Source organism: Homo sapiens, chromosome 1 (genome assembly GCF_000001405.40).
Source record: "Homo sapiens chromosome 1, GRCh38.p14 Primary Assembly".
Taxonomy (NCBI): Eukaryota; Metazoa; Chordata; class Mammalia; order Primates; family Hominidae; genus Homo; species Homo sapiens.
This window is the reverse complement of record NC_000001.11, coordinates 154,922,390-154,943,532: the sequence shown is the minus strand read 5'-3', so window position 1 is coordinate 154,943,532 and position 21,143 is coordinate 154,922,390. Positions and strand designations below refer to the sequence as shown.

The 21,143-nt window shown below is 51.0% G+C and overlaps 1 protein-coding gene across 4 annotated transcripts, besides 10 other annotated features; it reads left to right on the top strand.

The window, feature by feature from the left end:
- Window positions 716-1,095: an enhancer, noted in NCBI's record as "active region_1794". NCBI's record gives its function as "activates an Ori minimal core promoter by ATAC-STARR-seq in GM12878 lymphoblastoid cells {active_cell/tissue: GM12878}" and the evidence as "EXISTENCE:reporter gene assay evidence [ECO:0000049][PMID:35858748]".
- Window positions 716-1,630: a biological region, named in NCBI's record as "H3K4me1 hESC enhancer GRCh37_chr1:154914379-154915254".
- Window positions 755-1,630: an enhancer, noted in NCBI's record as "H3K4me1 hESC enhancer chr1:154914379-154915254 (GRCh37/hg19 assembly coordinates)". NCBI's record gives its function as "activates a minimal SCP1, AML or CMV promoter by ChIP-STARR-seq in naive H9 embryonic stem cells {active_cell/tissue: H9 hESC(naive)}" and the evidence as "EXISTENCE:reporter gene assay evidence [ECO:0000049][PMID:30033119]".
- Window positions 875-18,793, top strand: PMVK (phosphomevalonate kinase). 4 transcript variants are annotated; one of them, NM_001323012.3, is made up of 5 exons: window positions 875-957; window positions 11,118-11,181; window positions 14,357-14,509; window positions 17,050-17,179; window positions 18,268-18,793. In NM_001323012.3, exons 3-5 carry the CDS (start codon window positions 14,423-14,425, stop codon window positions 18,402-18,404), a joined length of 354 nt encoding a protein of 117 aa, NP_001309941.1. In that variant the 5' UTR covers window positions 875-957; window positions 11,118-11,181; window positions 14,357-14,422; the 3' UTR covers window positions 18,405-18,793. The 4 variants fall into 4 exon arrangements, with proteins under 4 accessions (NP_001309941.1, NP_001335625.1, NP_006547.1 ...); NM_001348696.2 differs by lacking the exon at window positions 875-957 and adding an exon at window positions 6,814-6,942 and having other exon boundaries at window positions 14,476-14,509; NM_006556.4 differs by lacking the exon at window positions 875-957 and adding an exon at window positions 6,814-6,942.
- Window positions 1,186-1,235: an enhancer, noted in NCBI's record as "active region_1793". NCBI's record gives its function as "activates an Ori minimal core promoter by ATAC-STARR-seq in GM12878 lymphoblastoid cells {active_cell/tissue: GM12878}" and the evidence as "EXISTENCE:reporter gene assay evidence [ECO:0000049][PMID:35858748]".
- Window positions 1,626-1,705: a silencer, noted in NCBI's record as "silent region_1368". NCBI's record gives its function as "represses an Ori minimal core promoter by ATAC-STARR-seq in GM12878 lymphoblastoid cells {active_cell/tissue: GM12878}" and the evidence as "EXISTENCE:reporter gene assay evidence [ECO:0000049][PMID:35858748]".
- Window positions 5,424-6,365: an enhancer, noted in NCBI's record as "NANOG-H3K27ac-H3K4me1 hESC enhancer chr1:154909644-154910585 (GRCh37/hg19 assembly coordinates)". NCBI's record gives its function as "activates a minimal SCP1, AML or CMV promoter by ChIP-STARR-seq in primed H9 embryonic stem cells {active_cell/tissue: H9 hESC(primed)}" and the evidence as "EXISTENCE:reporter gene assay evidence [ECO:0000049][PMID:30033119]".
- Window positions 6,345-6,544: an enhancer, noted in NCBI's record as "active region_1792". NCBI's record gives its function as "activates an Ori minimal core promoter by ATAC-STARR-seq in GM12878 lymphoblastoid cells {active_cell/tissue: GM12878}" and the evidence as "EXISTENCE:reporter gene assay evidence [ECO:0000049][PMID:35858748]".
- Window positions 6,345-7,364: a biological region, named in NCBI's record as "NANOG-H3K27ac-H3K4me1 hESC enhancer GRCh37_chr1:154908701-154909643".
- Window positions 6,366-7,308: an enhancer, noted in NCBI's record as "NANOG-H3K27ac-H3K4me1 hESC enhancer chr1:154908701-154909643 (GRCh37/hg19 assembly coordinates)". NCBI's record gives its function as "activates a minimal SCP1, AML or CMV promoter by ChIP-STARR-seq in primed H9 embryonic stem cells {active_cell/tissue: H9 hESC(primed)}" and the evidence as "EXISTENCE:reporter gene assay evidence [ECO:0000049][PMID:30033119]".
- Window positions 7,265-7,364: a silencer, noted in NCBI's record as "silent region_1367". NCBI's record gives its function as "represses an Ori minimal core promoter by ATAC-STARR-seq in GM12878 lymphoblastoid cells {active_cell/tissue: GM12878}" and the evidence as "EXISTENCE:reporter gene assay evidence [ECO:0000049][PMID:35858748]".

Genomic DNA, 21,143 nt, shown 5'->3' with positions numbered 1-21,143 from the left:
CCACTAATTCAGCAAACATTTATAAAGTCTACTGTGTACCAGAAACAGAGAGGCACTGGGAATACAGAGGCACCTTAAGAAGCCTAAAGTTGGGTCGGGTGTCGTGGCACACACCTATAATCCCAGCACTTTGGGAGGCCGAGGCGGACGGATTGCCTGAGCTCAGCAGTTTGACACCAGCCTGGGCAACACGGTGAAACTCCGTCTCTACTAAAATACAAAAAATTAGCCAGGCGTGGTGGTGGGCGCCTGTAGTCGCAGCTACTCGGGAGGCTGAGGTAGGAGAATCACTTGAACCTGGGAGGCGGAGGTTGCAGTGAGCTGGGATCGTGCCACTGCACTCCAGCCTGGGCGACAGAGCAAGACTCTGGCTCAAAACAAAACAACAACGACAACAACAAAAAACAGAGAAGCCTATAGTCCAGTGGAAACTTTCTACAGCAGGAGGAACTGCAGTTAGATCTAAGGAAGAACTTCCTTTCAGGTAGAAGGTCAGTGATATGGGCTGGGGAGGCTTAGGATTTGGTACCCAGGCCTGTGAACCACTGCTCCTTGAAGAAGCCTAGTTTTACCCTGTTCACATTGCTCACCTTCTGTAGGTGCTCAAAATTCTTGCTGCCTGAACAGCTGACTGGTAAAGTTGGGTTGCTGAGAGACAGATTCAGGCTAGAAGGTAGGTAGGATTCAGTGTCCTGGGGCAGGTGGCTGGGCCTGGGAAAGGGGATACAAACTGGCCTACCTGAGTTCCCAGAGGGTGGTGACTCTCACTGTGGCCCCTTGGGGCTTCTCAGTTTCATTTTTAGGGCTCATTTCCTTCGTTTGCATAACGAACGCTCAGGGAGGCTGCCAGGTTCCCCTAAGCCCCCTCCTGTTCCTTACCCACTCAGGAAGTAGATATGCTGAGCTGGAGGTTTCTGAAGCTGCTGAATCAGGAAGAAAAAGCCACGAACCCAAGGGGTATGTTGGGGAGGGCTGGGATGCCAGTGACATTGGCTGCTCTGATCGCCCTCTCTCTGGGATGCCCCTGGGAGGCGATCCTCGCACTCATCACAGGCCACGAGGCCCCTCTCTCTAACACACCCATGCAGCACTGGTGGTGAGGAGGAGCCCAGGGTCCAGGTCTTCGGATGATCTCCTGACCATGGGCCCAGTGTGTAGAGATGAGTCCAGGGAGGCTAGAGCCAAGGGACAGCATTCCCTCCTTCCCACAGGCCTTGGGGATAGCTCTGGCCTGGGCAGGGCTTCGGGGAGCTTGTGGGTAGACTCACTGGATTTCACCACGTGTCTGTTTGGCCTCCCAGGGTTTGGGCTGGGCTCTTCCAGTTTCAGCACTTGGCATTTTTAGCACTTGGCTTTCTGCCTTTTCCGCTGGGAGCTCCCCAAGTTTGCCCAAGTAGGGCCTGCTTCCCTGAGAGCTGAGCTCAGGGGTCCTTGGGAAGAATCACTAGAGTTAGGGGTGGCCTTCTTGGGCCTTCTACTCTCAAATGGAAAAATTCTATTTCCTTTGGCCAGTCCCAAAAACTCATTTCCTGGTAGTCCCCAGTCTGCATTCCCCCCTCCCGTCCTTATCTCTCATTCTTCAGCCTCACCTGCTTCCCAGGCTCCTTCAGCCACCCTTTCCCCAGTGCCCTCAGCCCAGCCTCTGCCACCCATGCCCTGTCTGGCCCTGTGCCTCCTCCAGGATCTCCCCCGTCTCCTGCTGCCTCCCCAGGTCCCCTAGGCCCCAGGCTTTCCCCATTGCCTGGCATTCACACCCATCCTGGGGTGACAGGTGGTGGAGACAGATGGGGTGGGTGGGTCATAGGTGGTAGTGGGTCACTTCGCTTCCCAGCCTGACCACCCCTATTGGCTTCTGGAAGGTCAGAGGCACATTGCTCCTTTTGAGAGTGGCTCCCAGCCTCGTCCGGCTGGGCCCAAGGACACACACTGGACTGGCTGGCTGTTGCCATGGGAACCTCCCAGGGTTACCCTGACACAGGAATGTCTCCTCATCCTGCCTGGTTCTGGGCCACAGATGTTCCTGGCCCCTTCACATGCTCACAGCAGGGGTCTGGTAGGGACAGTGCAGGTTGCAGGGTAGGGGTGTGGAGGGCTGTTGCCTAAATCAGACAACAGGTTCTTCCCCTCCCCAACTCAGCTGCCTGAGCCACAGAAGCCCCTTGTTAAGCACTTATCTGAGTTCCCTGTCCCACCTCTCCCAGGTCTCCCTTAAGGTGGCCACCCATCTCTTTGGTAACCTTTGGCACCCAGGATAGGTGACTGCCGCTCCCAAATGGAGAACAACAGTGAACCCCTTCCCCGCTCACCTGTTCTTCTGGCTGGGCCTGTTCCTGGCTCACCTGTTCCTGGGCCAGGGGGGCTCCCAGCCCAGATCTTTTCTAACCAGAGCTTTGACCTGAGCGAGATTTGAAGTCGGAAACCCCAGAGTGGCGGTCTCCACCGCTGCCCACCTGTGGGCCTTGGGCAAGAGGGCTCTCCTTGCTTAAGGGCTCAGCTTTCTCATCATTGAAGTGGAGACCACAGACTCTGCTCTCAGAGGCTGTCCCGAGGGTGAGATGAGTCAATGTAAGATACATGAAAAGGCTTTGCAAGCTAAAGGGCACTGAAACAGAGCAGTTATTTTTATTGTACTTAACCTCTAAGGGGGAAACTGGGAGCCACTGGGAGCTACTGATATGGGAGGAAAGGGTGTTGGTTCCCCGATGTGGCAGGAGCTGGCGGGAAAAGATGCTAACTAGCATTCAGGTCTCAATACTGTGCTAGATGCTGTGGGGCCCCCCAATCCTTGCCCCGAGGCTAATTGGATTAGCTGCATACAAAGCAGAATTTTAATAGTACTCTCTTAATGGTGCCAGGAGCAGTCTGCCAACTGGGTGAAGAGGAAGAAAGGGGTGGCCTTTGAGTTGGATCTTGAAAGATAATAGGATTTCAGAGATGGGAGAATGGGGGAAGGTATTTCAGGCTAGGCAAAGGTGAGGCCTGAGGTAAGGGTGTTATAGCCTATAGCTAGATGGTTCACAGAGGGGGCAAATTCTGCCACTGGCAGCCTGCAGGTCTGAGGGGATGGCTACTGTAGGAAATGGGAGGGGTGCCACTAATCCTCACCATTCCCCCCACCCTCCACTTCCTCTCCAGAGCAGGGCCCCTTTGCAGGAGTTCTCACCAGCATGGGGCACTTACCTTCGCTCAGCCCCAGGGGAGGCATTCAGCAGAGGGGAGGGTCATCCATTGAGGTCATCACTGAGACTCTGTTCAAAATCAAAGGGACAGGTCATCTGGCTAGAGCAGGATAGGCAGACACCTGAAGCCACATGCTGTGGAGAGGAAAGTGCTAGATAGCTCCCTTTGGAAGGTCCATTGCCCATGGGTCAAACAGGCTGGCCATCAATGCTTGCTCATCTGGAATGACAGGACTAGTCCAGAAATAGTGGCATGAGGCCAGCAAAGGAACAGGCTGGCTGGGCGCTGTGGCTCATGCCTGTAATTCCAGCACTTTGGGAGGCTGAGATGGGAGGTTGGCTTGAGGCCAGGAGTTCGAGACCAGCCTGGGAAACATAGCAAGACCTTATCTCTACTAAAAATTAAAAAAAAAAAAAAAAGTTTAACTCAGCATGGTGGCACACACCTGTAGTCCCAGCTACTCAGCAGGCTGAAGGTGGAAGGATTGCTTGAGCCCAGGACATCAAGGCTGCAGTGAGCTTATGATCCGCCACTGCACTTCCAGCCTGGGCACAGAGTGAGACCCTGTCTCAAAAAAAGAAAAGAAACAAGCCATGGCTGTCATCTAGGTGGATCATTAACTTTTCTTTCTTTTTTTTTTTTTTTTTTGAGATGGAGTCTCGCTCTGTTGTTCAGGCTGGAGTGCAGTGGCGTGATCTCTGATCTCCGCTCACTGCAAGCTCCACCTCCTGGGTTCACGCCATTCTCCTGCCTCAGCCTCCCGAGTGTAGCTGGGACTACAGGTGCCTGCCACCACGCTTGGCTGTTTTGTTTTTTTTTTTTTGTATTTTTAGTAGAAATGGGGTTTCACCGTGTTACCCAGGATGGTCTCGATCTCCTGACCTCGTGATCTGCCCGCCTCGGCCTTCCAAAGTGCTGGGATTACAGGCATGAGCCACTGCACCGGGCCACATTTAACTTTTTTCCCCTGGGTTGTGGAAGGCAGGCAGAGCATGTTATATAATGTAACCAGTTCCACCAGCTAGTGGACTTGGGAGGGAAGTGCTACTTTGGGGAGTATTTGAGCAAGTGACCTTGGAGGGTTGGGTGGATGAGCATGTGAGTTTGCAGGTTGAGCAGCTTCTGGTGATGACAAAGCCCAGGGTGTGTCCATAGGAGCTGGCCTCTGAGGAGGAGAGGGGGGAAAAGGCTTTGAACAGCCAGGGCCAAGGGATTGAGCAGCGGGGTGTTGGATGGGCTGGCCATGACCGTGATGTCACCGAGGATGATGACAGCAACTCTGTAGAAAAGGAGACTGGGAGCCAGTGGCTGAGTCTCAGAAAATGAGAATGAGGCTGGGTGCAGTGGCTTACACTGGTAATCCCGGCACTTTTGGAGGCTGAGGCCAGAGAGGACTGCTTGAGCCCAGGAATTCCAGACTAGCCTGGCCAACATAGCAAGACCCCGTCTGCATAAAGAAACAAAAGAAAATGAAAATGAACCACCAGGATTGCTGGGCTGCCAGTACTGAGGAAAGCAGGAGGGTAGCGCAGGCAGGTGGCATGAGCCTTAGAGGAACCATAGTTTTCCAAGAGGCAGGATGAGTAATGGTGTGGAAATTAAAATGGGGAGGAAGGGAGGCCATAGACTCAAAGCGGATGCTGAGGGATGAGGGCTGGGAGACTAAAGCCTCCACTTGAGACACCAGTAAGGGACAGTGGAGTTCAGTTGAGGCATACTAGGAAGCCTAGTATGGGGGAAGTTTTTTTTTATTTTTTGAGACGGAGTCTTTTTCTGTTGTCCAGGCTGGAGCGCAGTGGTACAATCTTGGCTCACTGCAACCTCTGCCTCCCAGGTTCAAGTGTTCTCATGCCTCAGCCTCCTGAGTAGCTGGATTGCAGGTGCCCGCCACCACGTCCAGCTATCCAGCTAATTTTTGTATTTTTAGTAGAGATGGGGTTTCACCATGCTGGCCAGGCTGGTCTCGAACTCCTGCCCTCAGGTGATCCGCCTTGGCCTCCCAAAGTGCGGAGATTACAGGCGTGAGCCTGGGGGAAGTTTTCTGATCGCTCACTAGGTATTCAGGGAGCTGGATCTCAGAGTCAGAGAGGGAGGTAAGGGGCGTGCATTGGGTCAGGTGAGGAAAGAGACTCCGGGAGTAAGTTCTGACTCCTTCCATGTGACTCAGGTAAAACAGGAGATGTGGACTTTCCGTGGAGGCCCAAATACATGTTTATTGAAGATGAGCTGGAAAATCTGATTCTGTGTTGAATGACGAAGTGCTAAGAATAAATAACAACCCCTTACATCTGGATGATACTTGAGAACTTACAAAGTATTTTATTGTACCTTGTCATATATTTTCTTCATTCCTTTCTTATTATAACCCTGGGAAGTGGGCCTTATCAGTGGTAAACTCAGAGTGACTTGCTAAGTGTCCAAGCTGGGACTGAAAATCCACTCTGTGCTGCCTTCTAGGGCGTTGATGAGTGCAGTGTTTTCTGGGTTGCTGAAAAAAAACAAAAAAAACCCCAAAAAACAAAAAACCACCTCCTTAAGTCTGTTCTTTTTGCATCTGACCACTCTCCTGTGCCTCTTTTCAACATTCAGGAAATTAATGGTTTCTCCCTAAGTCTCCACACTACACTTTTTCTCTAGTGGAGGCAGTAATGAGTTGCAGGCTCTGTTCTGACATGCTCAGAAAAATGCAGGACGGCAAGTCATAGCCAAAAACAACTCGACGTACTCAGCTGGGGCAACCCGTCACCTACTGCGGGAAGAGGCAGAACCGGGGATGCAGGGAAAGGACAGATTATTCTTATCCTGCCTCTCAAACTTCTGGCTGGGAGCCAGACTTCGGATGAAACCAGGCAATCTCATCTAGGGATTCAACGCTCCCTTACTATTGATGTCACCCACGCCGTTTGCTTCCGAAAACCTTTGGGCCGGAGGCTGCGGCTAGAAAAGCAATCAAAGGTTTCTCGCCGGGCTTAAAGGGCCACATCTTAGTGACGTCTCGGGTTATAAAATCTGCTTGACAATGAAATATCGTGTGCGCGATTCTGCTCCTCCCCCGACATGACGTGGCCAGACACGCCGCTCGCGTCAGGGCTGCCTTACGCCCCCAGGAAGACCCATTCCCACTCTGGGGCGCGCGCAGATTTGCTGTGGCACATGTACTATAACGCACAGGCAAAAGGGCAGTTTCCAAAACGTCTCCAACGTGATCTCACTCCAGAGATTTTTTTTCCTAAAGTTTTAGGGCTGCGCGGAAGGGAACATGGGGTTCACCTCAGGAAATTTCAGACGTCACCCCCCTCGGAGGAAGGTAGTCGCGTCCGGTTCCTCCCCGGGTGTCAGTTAAGCAGGCCAGGCTGTGAGCGAAGGTTCTGGGCGGGGCTGGACTGTTCTAAGTGAGTTCGGGTGGGGGAGCTTCACGAGGGGAGGCTGCTCTGTGAAGGAACCGCCTTTCTCTCCGCGTGTCTCACCCTTTTCTCCCCATATCTGTTTGGACATGAGCTGAGGGCACGGTCGCGGGCGGTCAGCCCTGTTCGCAGCTACGGCGAGGAGGGGCGCGATTGTTCCTTGTTGCCGCTCCGCTTAGTGGCCGCGTCCATTCCGCGCGGTGTCCCGATTTTAGGGGTAGGGAGAAGTGTCAGCTTCAGGCATCGCGAGGCGTGGCGGCCCCATGGCCCCGCTGGGAGGCGCCCCGCGGCTGGTACTGCTGTTCAGCGGCAAGAGGAAATCCGGGAAGGACTTCGTGACCGAGGCGCTGCAGAGCAGGTGTCCGTGAGGCGGGAAAGGTGGAAGGGGGAGCTCTCCGCATCACGTGACACGAGGAGTGCTTTTGGGTGTCACGGAGTGAGCTTTGGAGTACGGGTCGTCCGTTTGCAAGGCAGGAGGAGCACTGGGCTGGGGAAGGTGGAATGCCACCATTACATAAAACAGTAGTCTACACAGGCGAGCCTCAAAGAAGCAGGTGACCACCTCTCCAAAGACCTTCAGCTGCAGGTCTCTCTGAGAAGCATTAATAATGGTTCCTACGAAGGCACTTTCTATATACCAGGCGTTGGATACCAGCCTGGGCAACATGGCGAGACCCCGCCTCTACGAAAAATCCAAAAAGTAGCTGGGCGTGGTGACGCGTGCCTGTGGTCCCAGCTATTCAGGAGCCTGAGGTAGAAGAATCGCTTGAGCCCGGGAGGCGGAGGTTGCAGTGAGGCGAGATTGGCCACTGCACTCCAGCCTGGGCGACAGAGCGAGACCCTGTCTTAAAAAAACAAAACAAAAAACCCTCTTCACCTCTTTGTTAGGTACTGTGTGCCATTATTAGCATCTCCATTTCACAGGTGAAGAAACTGAGGCTCTTAAAAAGTTAAACAGGCCGGGTGTGGTGGTCATGTCTGTCACCCCAGCACTTTGGGAGACAGAGGTGCGAGGATGGCTTGAGAGCCCAGTAGTGGAGACCAGCCTGGGCAACACAGTAAGACCCTAGTCTCTACAAAAAAATGGAAAAGTTAGCCTAGTGCGATGGCGAGCACCTCTAGTCCAAGCTACTCAGGAGGCTGAGGTGGGAGGATCGCTTGAACCTGGGGGCTACAGTGAATTGTAATCATGCTACTGTCCTCCAGTCCTTGCAGCAGAGCCTGAGACCCTGTCTCGAAGTAAAATAAAATAAAATAACATACGAAGTTAACAACAAAAAACCCTTGCTGGTCACAAAGTAAGTGGCAAATCCAGGATTCAAATTCAGCTTTGTGGTTCATGATGGGCATCTCAGCAATTAATATATAATTGAAACAAAAAGAAAAAAAACCCAAACAAATTCAACTTTATCTTGCGCCAAGGACTGGTTTCTTTCTGTTTTATCTGGCTGCCTCCCCAAATAATAATACCTTTTGCACAGTGTTTTCTGTCAAAGCAAGATCTTCTGTGCAGGAGCATTTTGCTGAGACCTGGGCTAGGAGAGCAGAGGTTGGGGAGAAAGTGGGGCTCCTCTCCTCTTGAAGGCCAGTGTGGTGGGGGTACCAGGAAGCTGCTTTTGGGTACCACGGGGGTTCTATGAAGGTGTGGGAGAGCCCAGAGCAGAGGTCACCACCTGAATTTTTCATCACTAAGTATCTCACCACCTTTTCCTAAGTTGCATTTCTCCTCACCTCCAAACCCTGACGTCAAATAGTGGTCCGAAGCACAGGCTCTGGAATTAGACTGCTGGGATGCAAACCCTGGCTCACTGTTGATTAGTGTGTGATCTTGTACACATCTGTCATTCACTCTGTGCCTCATGTTTTTTTTTTTTTTTTTTTTTTTTTTTTGAGACGGAGTCTTGCTCTGTCACCCAGGCTGGAGCGCACCCAGGTTGCGGCTCACCGCAACCTCTGTCTCCTGGGTTCAAGCGATTTTCCTGTCTCAGCCTCCCGAGTAGCTGGGATTACAGGTGTGTGCCACCATGCCCAGCTAACTTTTGTATTTTTAGTAGAGACAGGTTTCACCATGTTGGCCAGGCTGGTCTGGAACTCCTGACCTCAGGTGATCTGCCTGCCTCGGCCTCCCAGAGTGCTGGGATTACAGACGTGAACCACCACCGCACCTGGCCTGCGTCTCAGTTTTGTCATCTGTAAAATGGGGATGATAATAGGGTGGTTGTGGGGATTAAATGAGATAATGTGTGTGAAGGGCTTAGAATAATTATTGGCACCTAGCAGAGGTGCAGGAACTAAATGTTGGCTATATTTATTTTACCAATCTTGGCTTCACTACTTGCAGTGTTGCTTTGGGGGAGTCAATCCTCCTTTCACAACCTCAGCTTCCTCATCTGAAACATGAAAATAAGAACACTTACAGCCAGGGCAACATAGTGAGACCCCCTCTCTACAAAAGATAAAAAAAATTAGCTGGGTATGGTGGTGCATGCCAGTAATCCCAGATACTCAGGAGGCTGAGGTGCGAGGATTGCCTGAGCCCAGGAGTTCAAGATTGTAGTGAGCTGTGATCATACCACTGCACTCTAGCCTGGGTGACAGCAAGACCCTGACTCTTAAAAAACCAAACCAAAACAAAACAAAGAACACTTATCGTTGGGCGCAGTGGCTCACGCCTGTAATCCTAGCACTTTGAGAGGCCGAGAAGGGTGGATCACTTGAGCTCAGGAGTTCGAGACCAGCCTGACCAACATGGTAAAACCCTTCTCTACTAAAAATACAAAAATTAGTGGGACGTGGTGGCGCCGGCCTGTAGTCCCAGTTACTTGGGAGGCTGAGGCAGGAGAATAGCTTAAACCCAGGAGGTGCAGGTTGCAGTGACCTGAGATTGCACCACTGCATTCCAGCCTGGGCTACAGAGTGAGACTCAGTCTCAAAAACAGCACTTATCTTCCTGTGCGTTAAGTGTATTGTGAGCATCTCAAGGCTAGGACAGGAAGCATGTATCATTCACATTTGTATCACCTAGATCCAAATATGGTACCCAATAAATGGTTGGTTAAGCCAGGAGGCAGAGGTTGTGGTGAGACGAGATGGTGCCACTGTACTCCAGCCTGGACGACAGAGTGAGACTCTGTCTCAAAAAAGAGAAAAAAAGAAGGGCCGTGTGCGGTGGCTCACGTCTGTAATCCCAGCACTTTGCGAGGCTGAGGCGGGCGGATCACGAGATCAGGAGTTTGAGACCAGCCTGGCCAACATGGCAAAACCCCGTCTGTACTAAAAATACAAAAATTAGCCGGGTGTAGTGGCGGGCGCCTGTAATCCCAGCTACTTGGGAGGCCGAGGCAGGAGAATCGCTCAAACCTGGGAGGCGGAGATTGCAGTGAGCCGAGATCGCGCCATTGCACTCCAGCCTGGGTGGTGGAGCAAGACTCCGTCTCAAAAAAAAAAAAAAAAAAAAAGGTTGGTTAAGTAAATTAAATAACGAATGAGTTATTTTTATTTTTATTTTCATTTTTGAGATGGATTTTCACTCTTGTTGCCCAGGCTGGAGTGCAATGGGGCGATCTCGGCTCACTGCAACTTCCACCTCCTGGGTTCAGGTGATTCTCCTGCCTCAGCCTCCCGAGTAGCTGGGATTACAGGCATGCGCCATCATGTCCGGCTAATTTTATGCTTTTAGTAGAGACAGGGTTTCACCGTGTTGGTCAGGCTGGTCTCAAACTCCTGACCTCAGGTGATCTGCTGCCTCAGCCTTCCAAAGTACTGGGATTACAGGCGTGAGCCACCACACCTGGCTTTTGTTTCAGTTTTTTAAATTTGCTTTTCTTATTTCATTTTTATGAGACAGGGTCTCACTCTGTCTCCCAGGCTGGCATACAGTGGTACAATCATGGCTCACTGTAGCCTGGAACTCCTGGGCTCAGGAATGCTCCCACCTCAGCCTCTGGAGTAGCTGGGAGTACAGGCACATGCTGCCATGCTCAGCTAATTTTTAAATTTTTTGGTGGAGATGGTATCTCTGGGTCTTATTGTGTTGCCCAGGCTGGTCTTGAACTCCTGGCCTCAAGCACTCCTCCTGCCTTGGCCTCCCAAAGTATTGGGATTACAGGTGTGAGCCACCATGCCCAACCAGTGAATTAATAAATGATATATGTTATGGTGACCAAGTCAGTGGAGACAGATACCTCTGGCTATGAGAGAATTAGTTTAGGGTCTGGGCAATAACCTAATCCAGCTAGAATATTGTGCGCCTGTTCACACTGTAATTAGCACTTTATAGGTTTTACCTGTTAGTTTCAGGGCTCTTTTATATTCTTTAGAGTTTCATAATAATCCTGTGTGGGAGACAGAACAGAAAGTGTTATCCCCATTTTCTGATGAGGAAACAGGATCAGGGACATTGAGACCTACCAAAGTTACATAATACCAGTAGTAGAAATGGGACTTCAACACAGGCCTCTTGACTCCCTTTCTGGGACATGGAAGCTCCTGGAAATTCTAGGCTAACTGGATTCTGATCTCCCTGTCCTGCAGACTTGGAGCTGATGTCTGTGCTGTCCTCCGGCTCTCTGGTCCACTCAAGGAACAGTATGCTCAGGTAGGTGGTGCTTTGTGGCATCCGGTGTGTTGGGCGGGGCCGGCTCCAGGACTTTGGAGCTGTGGCTGCTGCCTGAGTCACTGGCATGATTCCCGTCACCACTGCTGGCAGGGTGGTGGCCAGCTCTTGGTTTTCTGTGAGTGGACCTTTCGGGGGCATTTTCAGCTTATATTTCTTTCCTAATAGCCTCCCTCCCTTCAGAGTGAGTTCAGGAAGGTGTGCCCAGGAAAGGCTGTCGACACTCGAGTTGGCAGCTCTGATGCTGTGTGATTAGTAAGGACCTGCCTGTGCCTCCTCACACCACCCTCTCACTCAGCTGGCCTGACACAGCCCCTAGAACTTTGCTCCTAGAAATTTAGTACAGGCCGAGCACGGTGGCACATGCCTGTAATCCCAGCACTTTGGGAGGCCGAGGCAGGTAGATTGCTTGAGTCCAGGAGTTAGAGACCAGCCTGGCCAACATGGTGAAACCCCATCTCCGTTTCTTTAAAAAAAATTTTTTTTAAAGTAAACAACAACACACAAAAAAGAAATTTAGTCCCAGAAGTTGTCAAAATATATCATTAAGTGAAAAAAAAAAAAAGCCAATACCAAGATATAGAACAGTGTGTAGAGAATGCTACATTTGTCTAAAACTGAAGAGGCACTTTGTGACCAAGAATTGTAAAAGAATTCTAAATATATCTGCTCATATATTTGGCTATTTAACAAATATTTACAGGGTGCCTGTCTCATGTTCAGCACTGTTTCAGGTGCCTGGGATGTGTTCCTGCACTGCATGGGAAAGACAGGTTAGAAACCGTACCATTGGTTGCCCCCAGGGAGGGGACAGGGTGAGAGAGAGATTTTCGACTGTAAATTAATGTGTATCTTTGAATTTTGAACCACATGGATTAAAAAAAATAGAATCGTTAAAATAGAATAAAAAAAATAAGTCAACAGGAACTCTCAGAATCTTAGACTTCAGAAAGGGAACTTGGAAGGCAAGATCAGCCTCCCACATGGTGAAGAGCCCTCTTGTCGCCACATTTTGCCCTTGACCTCTAGGTGCACCCTTCTGGGACGTGTGCTTTGGCCCCTCAATTGGCCAGAGTGTGGTTTCCGGAACCACATAAAATGAATTGTCCCCCCTTCTATATGCCATCTTTGCCTCCATGGGAAGCATTGGGTCATCTCTCACCAGCTGAACAGACCTATTCATAGGGTGGCAGCCTGAGGAATTGTAAGAATAACTAAATTAAGTGGTTTATTTTTTTTTCTTTTTGAGACAAGGTCTTGCTCTGTAGCGCAGGCTGGAGTGCAGTGGCGCATAATGGCTCACTGCAGCCTTGACCTCCTGGGCTCAAGTGATCCTCCCACTTGAGCTTCCCAAGTAGCTAGGAATACAGGTGCATGCCACTATGCCTGGCTAAGTTTAAAATTTTTTTTTGTAGAGATGGGAGTCTCATTATGTTGCCCAGGCTGGTCTCCAACTCCTGGGCTCAAGTGATCCTCCCACTATGGCCTCCCAAAGTGCTAGGATTTGGGCAGGAGCTACTTTACCTGGCCTGGTTTTCAAAAATTTTAAGCAGGATTCTTTCCCAAATGAAACTGGATACAGAATTTCTTTGTATCCAGGAGACAGACTGGGAGCGATGCTGCAGGGTGGTGGGGTGGTGGTGGGGGGATGGGAGGAAGGAAGGGGTGAAGGGGAAGGCACTGAGCCTTCCCTAGTGGGGCCTAGGCACTTCCAAAGGCCTCCCAGGAGCACTTTCAAAACTGATCTTCCAAAGTTCCCAGACAGGTCTTGCTTCTGTCCTACTGAGTGAGACTGGTGGGGTTGGGTGGGGGGCGGGAGGAAGAAGGAGCAGGAGTTTGCATTTTTATTTATTTATTTATTTTATTTATATTTGAGACGGAGTCTCGCTCTGTCGCCCAGCCTAGAGTGCAGTGGCACGATCTTGGCTCACTGCAACCTCCACCTCCTGGGGTTCAAGCAGTTCTACTGCCTTAGCCTCCTGAGTAGCTGGGATTGCAGCCATGGGTGACCACGCCCGGGTAATTGTTTTGTATTTTTAGTAGAGACATGGTTTCACCATATTGGTCAGGCTGGTCTTGAACTCCTGACCTTGTGATCTGCCCGCCTCGGCCTCCCAAAGTGCTGGGATTACAGGCGTGAGCCACTGTGCCTGGCCAGTTTGCATTTTTAAAAGCTCCATGGAAGACTCTGATAGGCCAGACTGCCCTTGCTCTGTGCAAGTCCAGCACCACTCTATCCCCCACTCCCATTAAAAAACAAAACCAAAATGAAATGTTCATGCATTGATTTCCTAAGTCACAAGAAGAAATATAACCAACAAGTAGACCACAACGCTCCTGGAGGGAAACTGGTTCAGGAGCAGGAGGTGGCTACTGACCTCCTCTTGCAGCAAGGGGAGCAGGTGGGTGATCAAGAAATTGAGAGCCTGAGGGGAGAAGGTCTTGTTGCAGTGAGTTCATGGAGGAGCCAGAATCTGAACGAGGTGATGCTTTTCAGACCCCTCCTATCCTGGATCCCTTTGGATGGACCCCTCTGCTTGGAAAGGGGAGAAAGGAGTTCCCCAGGGTGGTCAGAGTAACCTCTCCTGCCTTGGGGGTCCTCTGGGTGTGGGAGGCCTTGCAAGTGCCCAGAGCCAGATGGAGTGATGCTGTTTCAGCAAAGGCGCCAGGAATTTGGGGATGGGAAGGGGTAAGGGGGAGAGAAAGGAGACACAATCTCCGTGGGATTTGGGATGGGGGCAAACAATGCTAGTGGGAGGACATGGAGTGCAGGATTTTTTTTCCCCCCTCAGATTTCCCACTTTAGTTGAAGGCTAAGCCTTTGCCCAGGGGATGCAAACTAATTTCAGTATTAGTTTAAGCCAGAAATAATTGGGAAGGTAAAACTTGCAAAAGAGAAACCACGCCACATATTTCAAAGACAAATTGAAACAATTTCTGGATTATCCCCAGACCTTTCTTCTGTCTACCAGTGATCGGGATTTCTTAGTTGCTGAGACTCTTGCCCTTGCAGACCTTTGTCCTGGCTGAAACCTCATTAATCCTTGCATCAGCCCTGGGGGAGGCAGGTGAGGGTGAGGGATGGCTCTTCCGCTGTTTTAGGAGAGACCACTGAGGTTGAAAGGCCGGTGACGTAGACATAATGTCCTTTGGGCAGGAGCATGGCTTGAACTTCCAGAGACTCCTGGACACCAGCACCTACAAGGAGGCCTTTCGGAAGGACATGATCCGCTGGGGAGAGGAGAAACGCCAGGCTGACCCAGGCTTCTTTTGCAGGAAGATTGTGGAGGGCATCTCCCAGCCCATCTGGGTAAGAGGGCTCCATGGCAGCATGAAGAACACCTGTTTCCCTAGCTCTTCGCTGTGTCCATCTCTCTCTGTCTCCACTGCCACCATCCTGGCCCAAGCCCCCACCATTTCTGGCCTGGACAGTCGCAGTAGCCTCCACACTGGTCTCTAGCTGTGGCTCTTGCCCTCTGTGGTCTATTCATTACACAGTAGCCAGACTGACCTTTTATTATTTATTTATTTATTTATTTATTTATTTATTTATTTATTTTTGAGATGGAGTCTCACACTTGTCGCCTGGGCTGGAGTGCAGTGGCGCAATCTTGGCTCACTGCAACCTCTGCCTCCTGGGTTTAAGTGATTCTTCTGCCTCAGCCTCCCAAGCAGCTGGGACTACAGGTGTCCACCACCACGCCTGGCTAATTTTTGTATTTTTAGTAGAGACGGGTTTTCACCATGTTGGCCAGGCTGGTCTCGAACTCCTGACCTCAGGTGATCCACCCACCTTGGCCTCCCAAAATAGTGGGATTACAGGTGTGAGCCACTGCATGCGGCCCAGACTGACCTTTTAAAAACGTGAACCAGGTGATGTCACTCTTCTGTTTAGAATACTTTGGTGGCTTCCCATTGTGCTCATGAACAAAATGAAAATCCTTCACATGAACTTCTGGGCCTTGTGTGATCCAGTTTCTGCTACTTTTTTAGCCTCCTTACTCCTTAAGCTGTAGCAACACTGGCCTTCTTGGTCCTCAAGTCAGTCGAACTCCTTCTGGAATCAGGGCCTTTGCACATGCCCTTCCACCTGTCTGGACTGCCCTTTCTTTCTCTTTCCCTGGTTAGCTTCAGCTCAGTTGACATGACACCTCCACAGGGAAGCCTTCCCTAATATTCAGGTCTTAACTGGTGCTCCCTGGCAGGTGCTCCTATAGCACCCTACCCCTTTTTTTCCTCATTCATTCTGGCAGTGAATATTGAGTGTCTACTTCTGCCAGGTGTGGTTGCATGTTGTGGGGATATATTGGTGCAAAAGCGCAATGAAATCTCTTCCTTCAGGGAGCTTACATTACAGCTGAGGGTGGCGGGGAGATAGGCACAGAATAAATACAGAATATATCAGGCAGTGGTAAATACTAAGGAGTAAAATAAAGTAGGCCTAGGATATGAGGAGAGATAGGGAAGCGTTGCTGTTTTATTAAGGGTGCCTGGGAAGGCTACACTGATATGATGATGTTTGAGCAAGACCTGAAGGAAATAAGGGATAACTGAATGGATATTTGGGGAAGTAGCTTTCCAGAGAGAGGGAGGAGGAAGTGCAGAGGCTTGAGTGGTGAGTGTGCCTGGTGTGTCTGAGGACAAGCCAGGTGGCCAGAGTGGTGGAAGGTCAGGTCAGACTTCCCAGGGCGGACCTTTGGGAGAGCTGGGATTTTATTCTGAGTGAGATGGGGAGTCACTACAGCGTTCTAAGCAGAGGAGAGACATGATCTGATTTCAGATTGAGAAGCCTGGCCATAGCTGCTGTGGGGAAGATGGGAGCAGAAGCACAGGGGCCGGGTGGAGGACTTTCCTGTGTTTTTTTTTTTTTTTTTTTTTTTTTTTTGAGACAGAGTCTCACTCTTGTCACCAAGGCTGGAGTGCGGTGGCGCGATCTCAGCTCACTCTACCCTCTGCCTTGTGGGTTTAAGCGATTCTTGTGCATCAGCCTCCCGAGTAGCTGGGATTACAGGCATGTGCCATCATGCCCAACTAATTTTTTTTGTATTTTTAGTCGAGACGGTGTTTTACCATTTGGCAAAATTTGAACTCCTGACCTCAAGTGAACCACCCACCTCGGCCTCCCAAAATGCTGGGATTACAGGCATGAGCCACCATGCCTGGCCAGGACCTTTCTGTAACAGACAAAATGACTATGGTTGGGGCGCAGAGGGGAGCAAACGTAGAGTGGAGAGAAGGGGTCAATTTTGCGTGTATTTTGAAGAGAAAACCAACAGGATTTGCCCTTGGGTTGGCTGTGGGGTGTGAGAGACTATACCAAGGATTTTGTTCTGAGCAGGTGGACAAATATAGAATTATCATTTTCTAAGACAGGGAAGGTGGGGAGGAACAGGATTGGAGAGGAAATCAGGAGTTGAGTTTCAGCCGTGTTGAGGTTGAGACACTTGTTGACATACACTGTAATCACATGGTTATTTGATTACTGAATACTTGTTCAGTGTCTCCCACTAGACTGTAAGCTCTGAGAGGGCAGGCACAGGGTCTGTTTTGCTTACCAGTCTAGCCTTAGCACCTAGCACAGTGACCAGCGTACAGTAGGTACTTACTATAATACTTGTTTAATTGGATTAATGAACTTGTCAGCAGCACTGCCTGACATGTAGTCAGCACTCAGTGGTGTATGTTCAATGAATGAATGAATCCGTGAATAGTGAGTCTAGCTGCTGACATGCTCACGATGATGGGGGGGTAGAGCCACACCCCACACTGCCCTGGGTTCTGTAGTCCTCCCACCTCCCCTCACTTCTATCATCCTGTCCTGTTGGTCACCTGTCTGTCCCTCTCCTGCAGCTGGTGAGTGACACACGGAGAGTGTCTGACATCCAGTGGTTTCGGGAGGCCTATGGGGCCGTGACGCAGACGGTCCGCGTTGTAGCGTTGGAGCAGAGCCGACAGCAGCGGGGCTGGGTGTTCACGCCAGGTGAGCCACTCTATGTGTAGGGCACAGGAGGACACAGGCTACCCACCCTGTGGTTTGTCTACCGGGCAGGCCTGGGGGAAGTGAATAAGGGATGATAAAGGAGAATCTGAGGCCTCCTGATTAGGGAGTAGCATGGTGGACAGAATCCTGAGGGTCAAGGTTCCCTTGGCTTAACCTAGGCTATCTTCTCATGGCCAGTGGGCTGCTTTGGTGGTCTGGCTGGGACCCACCCCCATGATTCTTCACCTTTGCTTTCCAGCCCAGTAGGGGCTGACAGTGGTCAGGGGCAAACCTGACAAAGCTCACTTCTGTTTAACACAGTAGTGGAGTTAGAAGTTAGTAGTGGAGAGGAAGTTCTGCTGGGAGCTTCAGTGGTGCAAGCCCAGGACCCGCTCTGTGGGCTTCAGAAGCACAGCTCAGGCTTCCTTCCTGCCCTAGATCACTGTGACTTAGAGCAGCAGTTCAGATCCAATGGGTATGACCACTACTAATGCTGCTCATTTCTGGGGCACTCACATGTCCAGGCCTGTGCTAAGCATTTTATATGCACTGTCTCACTTTACCATCAAAACAGATTCAGCAGGTAGATGCTGTTATTAGTTTACCCATGGTTGGATGAGGCCCTGGCCTGAAAGGTTAAGTCTCTTTCCCAGGGTCACAAAGAGTGAGAGGAGGAGCTGGCCTCCTGACCCTCTGCTTCTGACTCCAGCACATGCTGCCTCCTGAGGGGATTGAGTCAGACAGATTTAGGGATAGAAAAGGACACAACCAGCTTGACAGAAAATGAAAACACAGTGCCCTTTTGGGTTGTGTGTGGTTTTAGATGACCCGATTCACCCTCTGTAGGCAGTAGCAAGTGAAGGATTAAGTCAGGAGGGATCAGCTGAGAGGCCCAGGTGGCTATGGGCTACTGAACCTGCCATCACAGTGTTTCAGGGGTAGGGAGGTGCCTTCTGGGTGGGTAGCCCTTGGCTCTAGGGTAGCAGAGGAGAGGCCGGGAGGGCCCACTCCAGTTGGGGTTAGCAGGCCTTGATGCCTGCTGTCTGTCTGGAGGGCTGAGGCCTGACCTCACCATGCTTCCTTCATAGGGGTGGACGATGCTGAGTCAGAATGTGGCCTGGACAACTTCGGGGACTTTGACTGGGTCATCGAGAACCATGGAGTTGAACAGCGCCTGGAGGAGCAGTTGGAGAACCTGATAGAATTTATCCGCTCCAGACTTTAGTCACTAGGTTCTAGGAGTGAGCTGGGGCCTGCTGAGGTGGGGGTGGGGCTGACTCTGCAAAATGGGGGTGTCCCCCGATCCTGGCCGAGGTGAGGAACAGACAGGGGGGGTCTAGATTCTGAGGGGGTTGGTGGATATTGGGCAAGGCAGGAAACCTCTGGAGACCTCATTTTCTCCATGGGGAAGACAGCCATGCTCTTCAGGAGGAGACTCCAAGGGCAAAGGAGGGTGTCTTGGCTGTGCTTGAAGGCGAAACCCTGCCATATCCCCAGTGCCAGTCCCCTCAGCCTGTGGTGGCCTTGCATCCTGACTGGATGTTCTCAGCCCCTTGTTCTGGGCAAGAACCCAGAGCTCCCCAGTGTGGATACTAATAAACCTCTTGGAGCACACTCTCAGAGCTGCTTGTCTCTCATTTCCTTGATGCCAAGCTGGCCTGGGTGGGGTTTAGAAGGCGTTAGGGTGTCATGGTGGCTGGAGGGTCCCTGTTCCACCTCCCACCTGGCTAGAATGTATTCTTCAGAGGTTGACCTATGCTGCACCCCACAGGCAACTGGCCTGTTTATGTTGGAGGTGGGATTGGGTTGAGGCCCTTACCCTCTGGTATAGCGCCATGAAAGGCTGTGATCCATAGAAAGTGCCACCAGCAAGTGCCCCCTCCCCCCGCTTTTTTTTTTTCTTTGAGACAGGGTCTTATTCTGTCACCCAGGCTGGCATGCAGTGGTGTGATCATAGCTCATTGCAGCCTGACCTCCTGGGCTCAAGCAATCCTGCCTCAGCCTGCCAAGTAGCTGGGTCTACAGGCACACACCACTATATTTGGCTAATTTTTTTCATTTTTAGTAGAGACAGGGTTTCGCTATGTTGCCCAGGCTGGTCTTGAACTCCTGAACTTAAGCAATGCTCCCACCTTGGCCTCCTAAAGTGTTGGGATTACAAGTGCGAGCCATTACCATGCCTGGCCCTGCCCTTGTAATTTATATAGCCTTTTATAATTTCCAAATTTCTTCTAGATTCTTCACAGCTACCCCCTGAAATGGGCGAGGATAGGATTTTCATCGCATTTAGCAGATGCCAAGAACTCAAAGAAGTGAAACAACTTCTCCAGGGTTAGAGGGCTTAGTAAGTGTCAGTGCTGTGTGGAACCCAGGCCACTTGACTCCTGACCAGGCCCCTTCTGCACATTCCTATGGTTGTGGTACAAAGTCCCAAGGCTCCTTGCTGTCCCCAGGCCAAGCCTAAGCCCTCCAACTCTGGCCCTGGCTTCGTAATCCTCCCACAAATTCTGTTCTCACAGATAAGGGGACAGCCAAAGAAATTACACTTTCAGTGTGACCCAGACTGAATCTTGTTTCTGCCCAGATCTCCTCTGCTCTGCTGCCATCATCCTTGCTGGGTGCCAGGCACTGGGCACATAAAGATGAACAGGTCACAGGACTGTTCCTTAAGGAACTCTTGACCTCAGTGAGAAATAGACACCCTCCAGGTGCCCAGGAACCTGAAGGCAGTGCCAAAGACAACTTCAGTTCTCTGGGAAGGAGGGTGGGCTTCCATGACACCCAGGCCTGCCGTGCCTGGGTGAGCACTGACCCCTTGTCCCAGGGGCACTGCCATTGCTGCTTGGAAATCCCTCTCTGGAGCTGGGAGCAAATGATTGTGAACAATCCCAGTCATGGAAATGTCCAAAAGTCACTGGGGCCAACTCTGATGAATGTGGGAGGCAAAGTTTTTGGGTTACAAACCTTAACGAGTCATAAGGTTTGTAAAGAAGTCGATTAGGGGCTGGGGTGGGGTGGCTCATGCCTATAATCCCAGCACTTTGGGAGGCAGAGGAGGGTGGATCATTTGAGGTCAGGAGTTCAAGACCAACCTGGCCAACATGGCAAAACCCCATCTACCAAAAATACAAAAATTAGCTGGGCATGGTGGCAGGTGCCTGTAATCCCAGCTACTCAGGAGGCTGAGGCAGGAGAATTGCTTGAACCTGGGAGGCAGAGATCTTGCCACTGCACTCCAGCCTGGGCGACAGAGCGAGACTATCTCTGAGAAAAAAAGAAGGGCAGGAAGGACACAATCAAACCAGGGAGAACATAGAGTCCACGGGGCCAGCTAAGAGGCTTCTGCAAGATTCCAAGCAAGAAGTAGCACAGGCTGAAGGAGAGAGGGTCACTGGAAAGCAGATGGGTTGGTGGTGGCATTCAACTTTGTTTCTGACCCAGCCCACCTGATACCGGGCATATTCCCATCAGTGAAACTGGCTCACTGCCTGAAGGGGAGCAGAGGTTCCGGGCACAGGAGCCCTGTCAGAACCTCCGGGTTGGAGGTGAGGAAACACCTACTGCATGACATCATTACCTGCTTGATTCCAGCATGTCTTCTGTAGTCCTGTCTCACCATGCATTCAATCACATCCACTTCCTGAGCACCTGCTGTGGCTCTAGGAGCTAGGGACACAGCTACAAGAGAGACATGGGCCCTGCCATCACGGAATTTACCTTTCAGAAATAATCCTAGACAGGGTAGGTTCCACAGAACTTGGGGACCGATTAGCCACAGCAGCTGGGGAGATGGAGGAGTTCAAACTTGTGCCAGAAACCCTGGGTTTTATCGCCTTCCCTGAAGGGGGTGTCTTCAGCATGTGGGAATGTGGTAGTACCTTCTCAGTTTGGAAGCCAGTGAATCCCTGCCTTCGTAGGCAATGAGGGTCAAAGCTCCAGATGGATGTGAACCTATCAAGTGTGG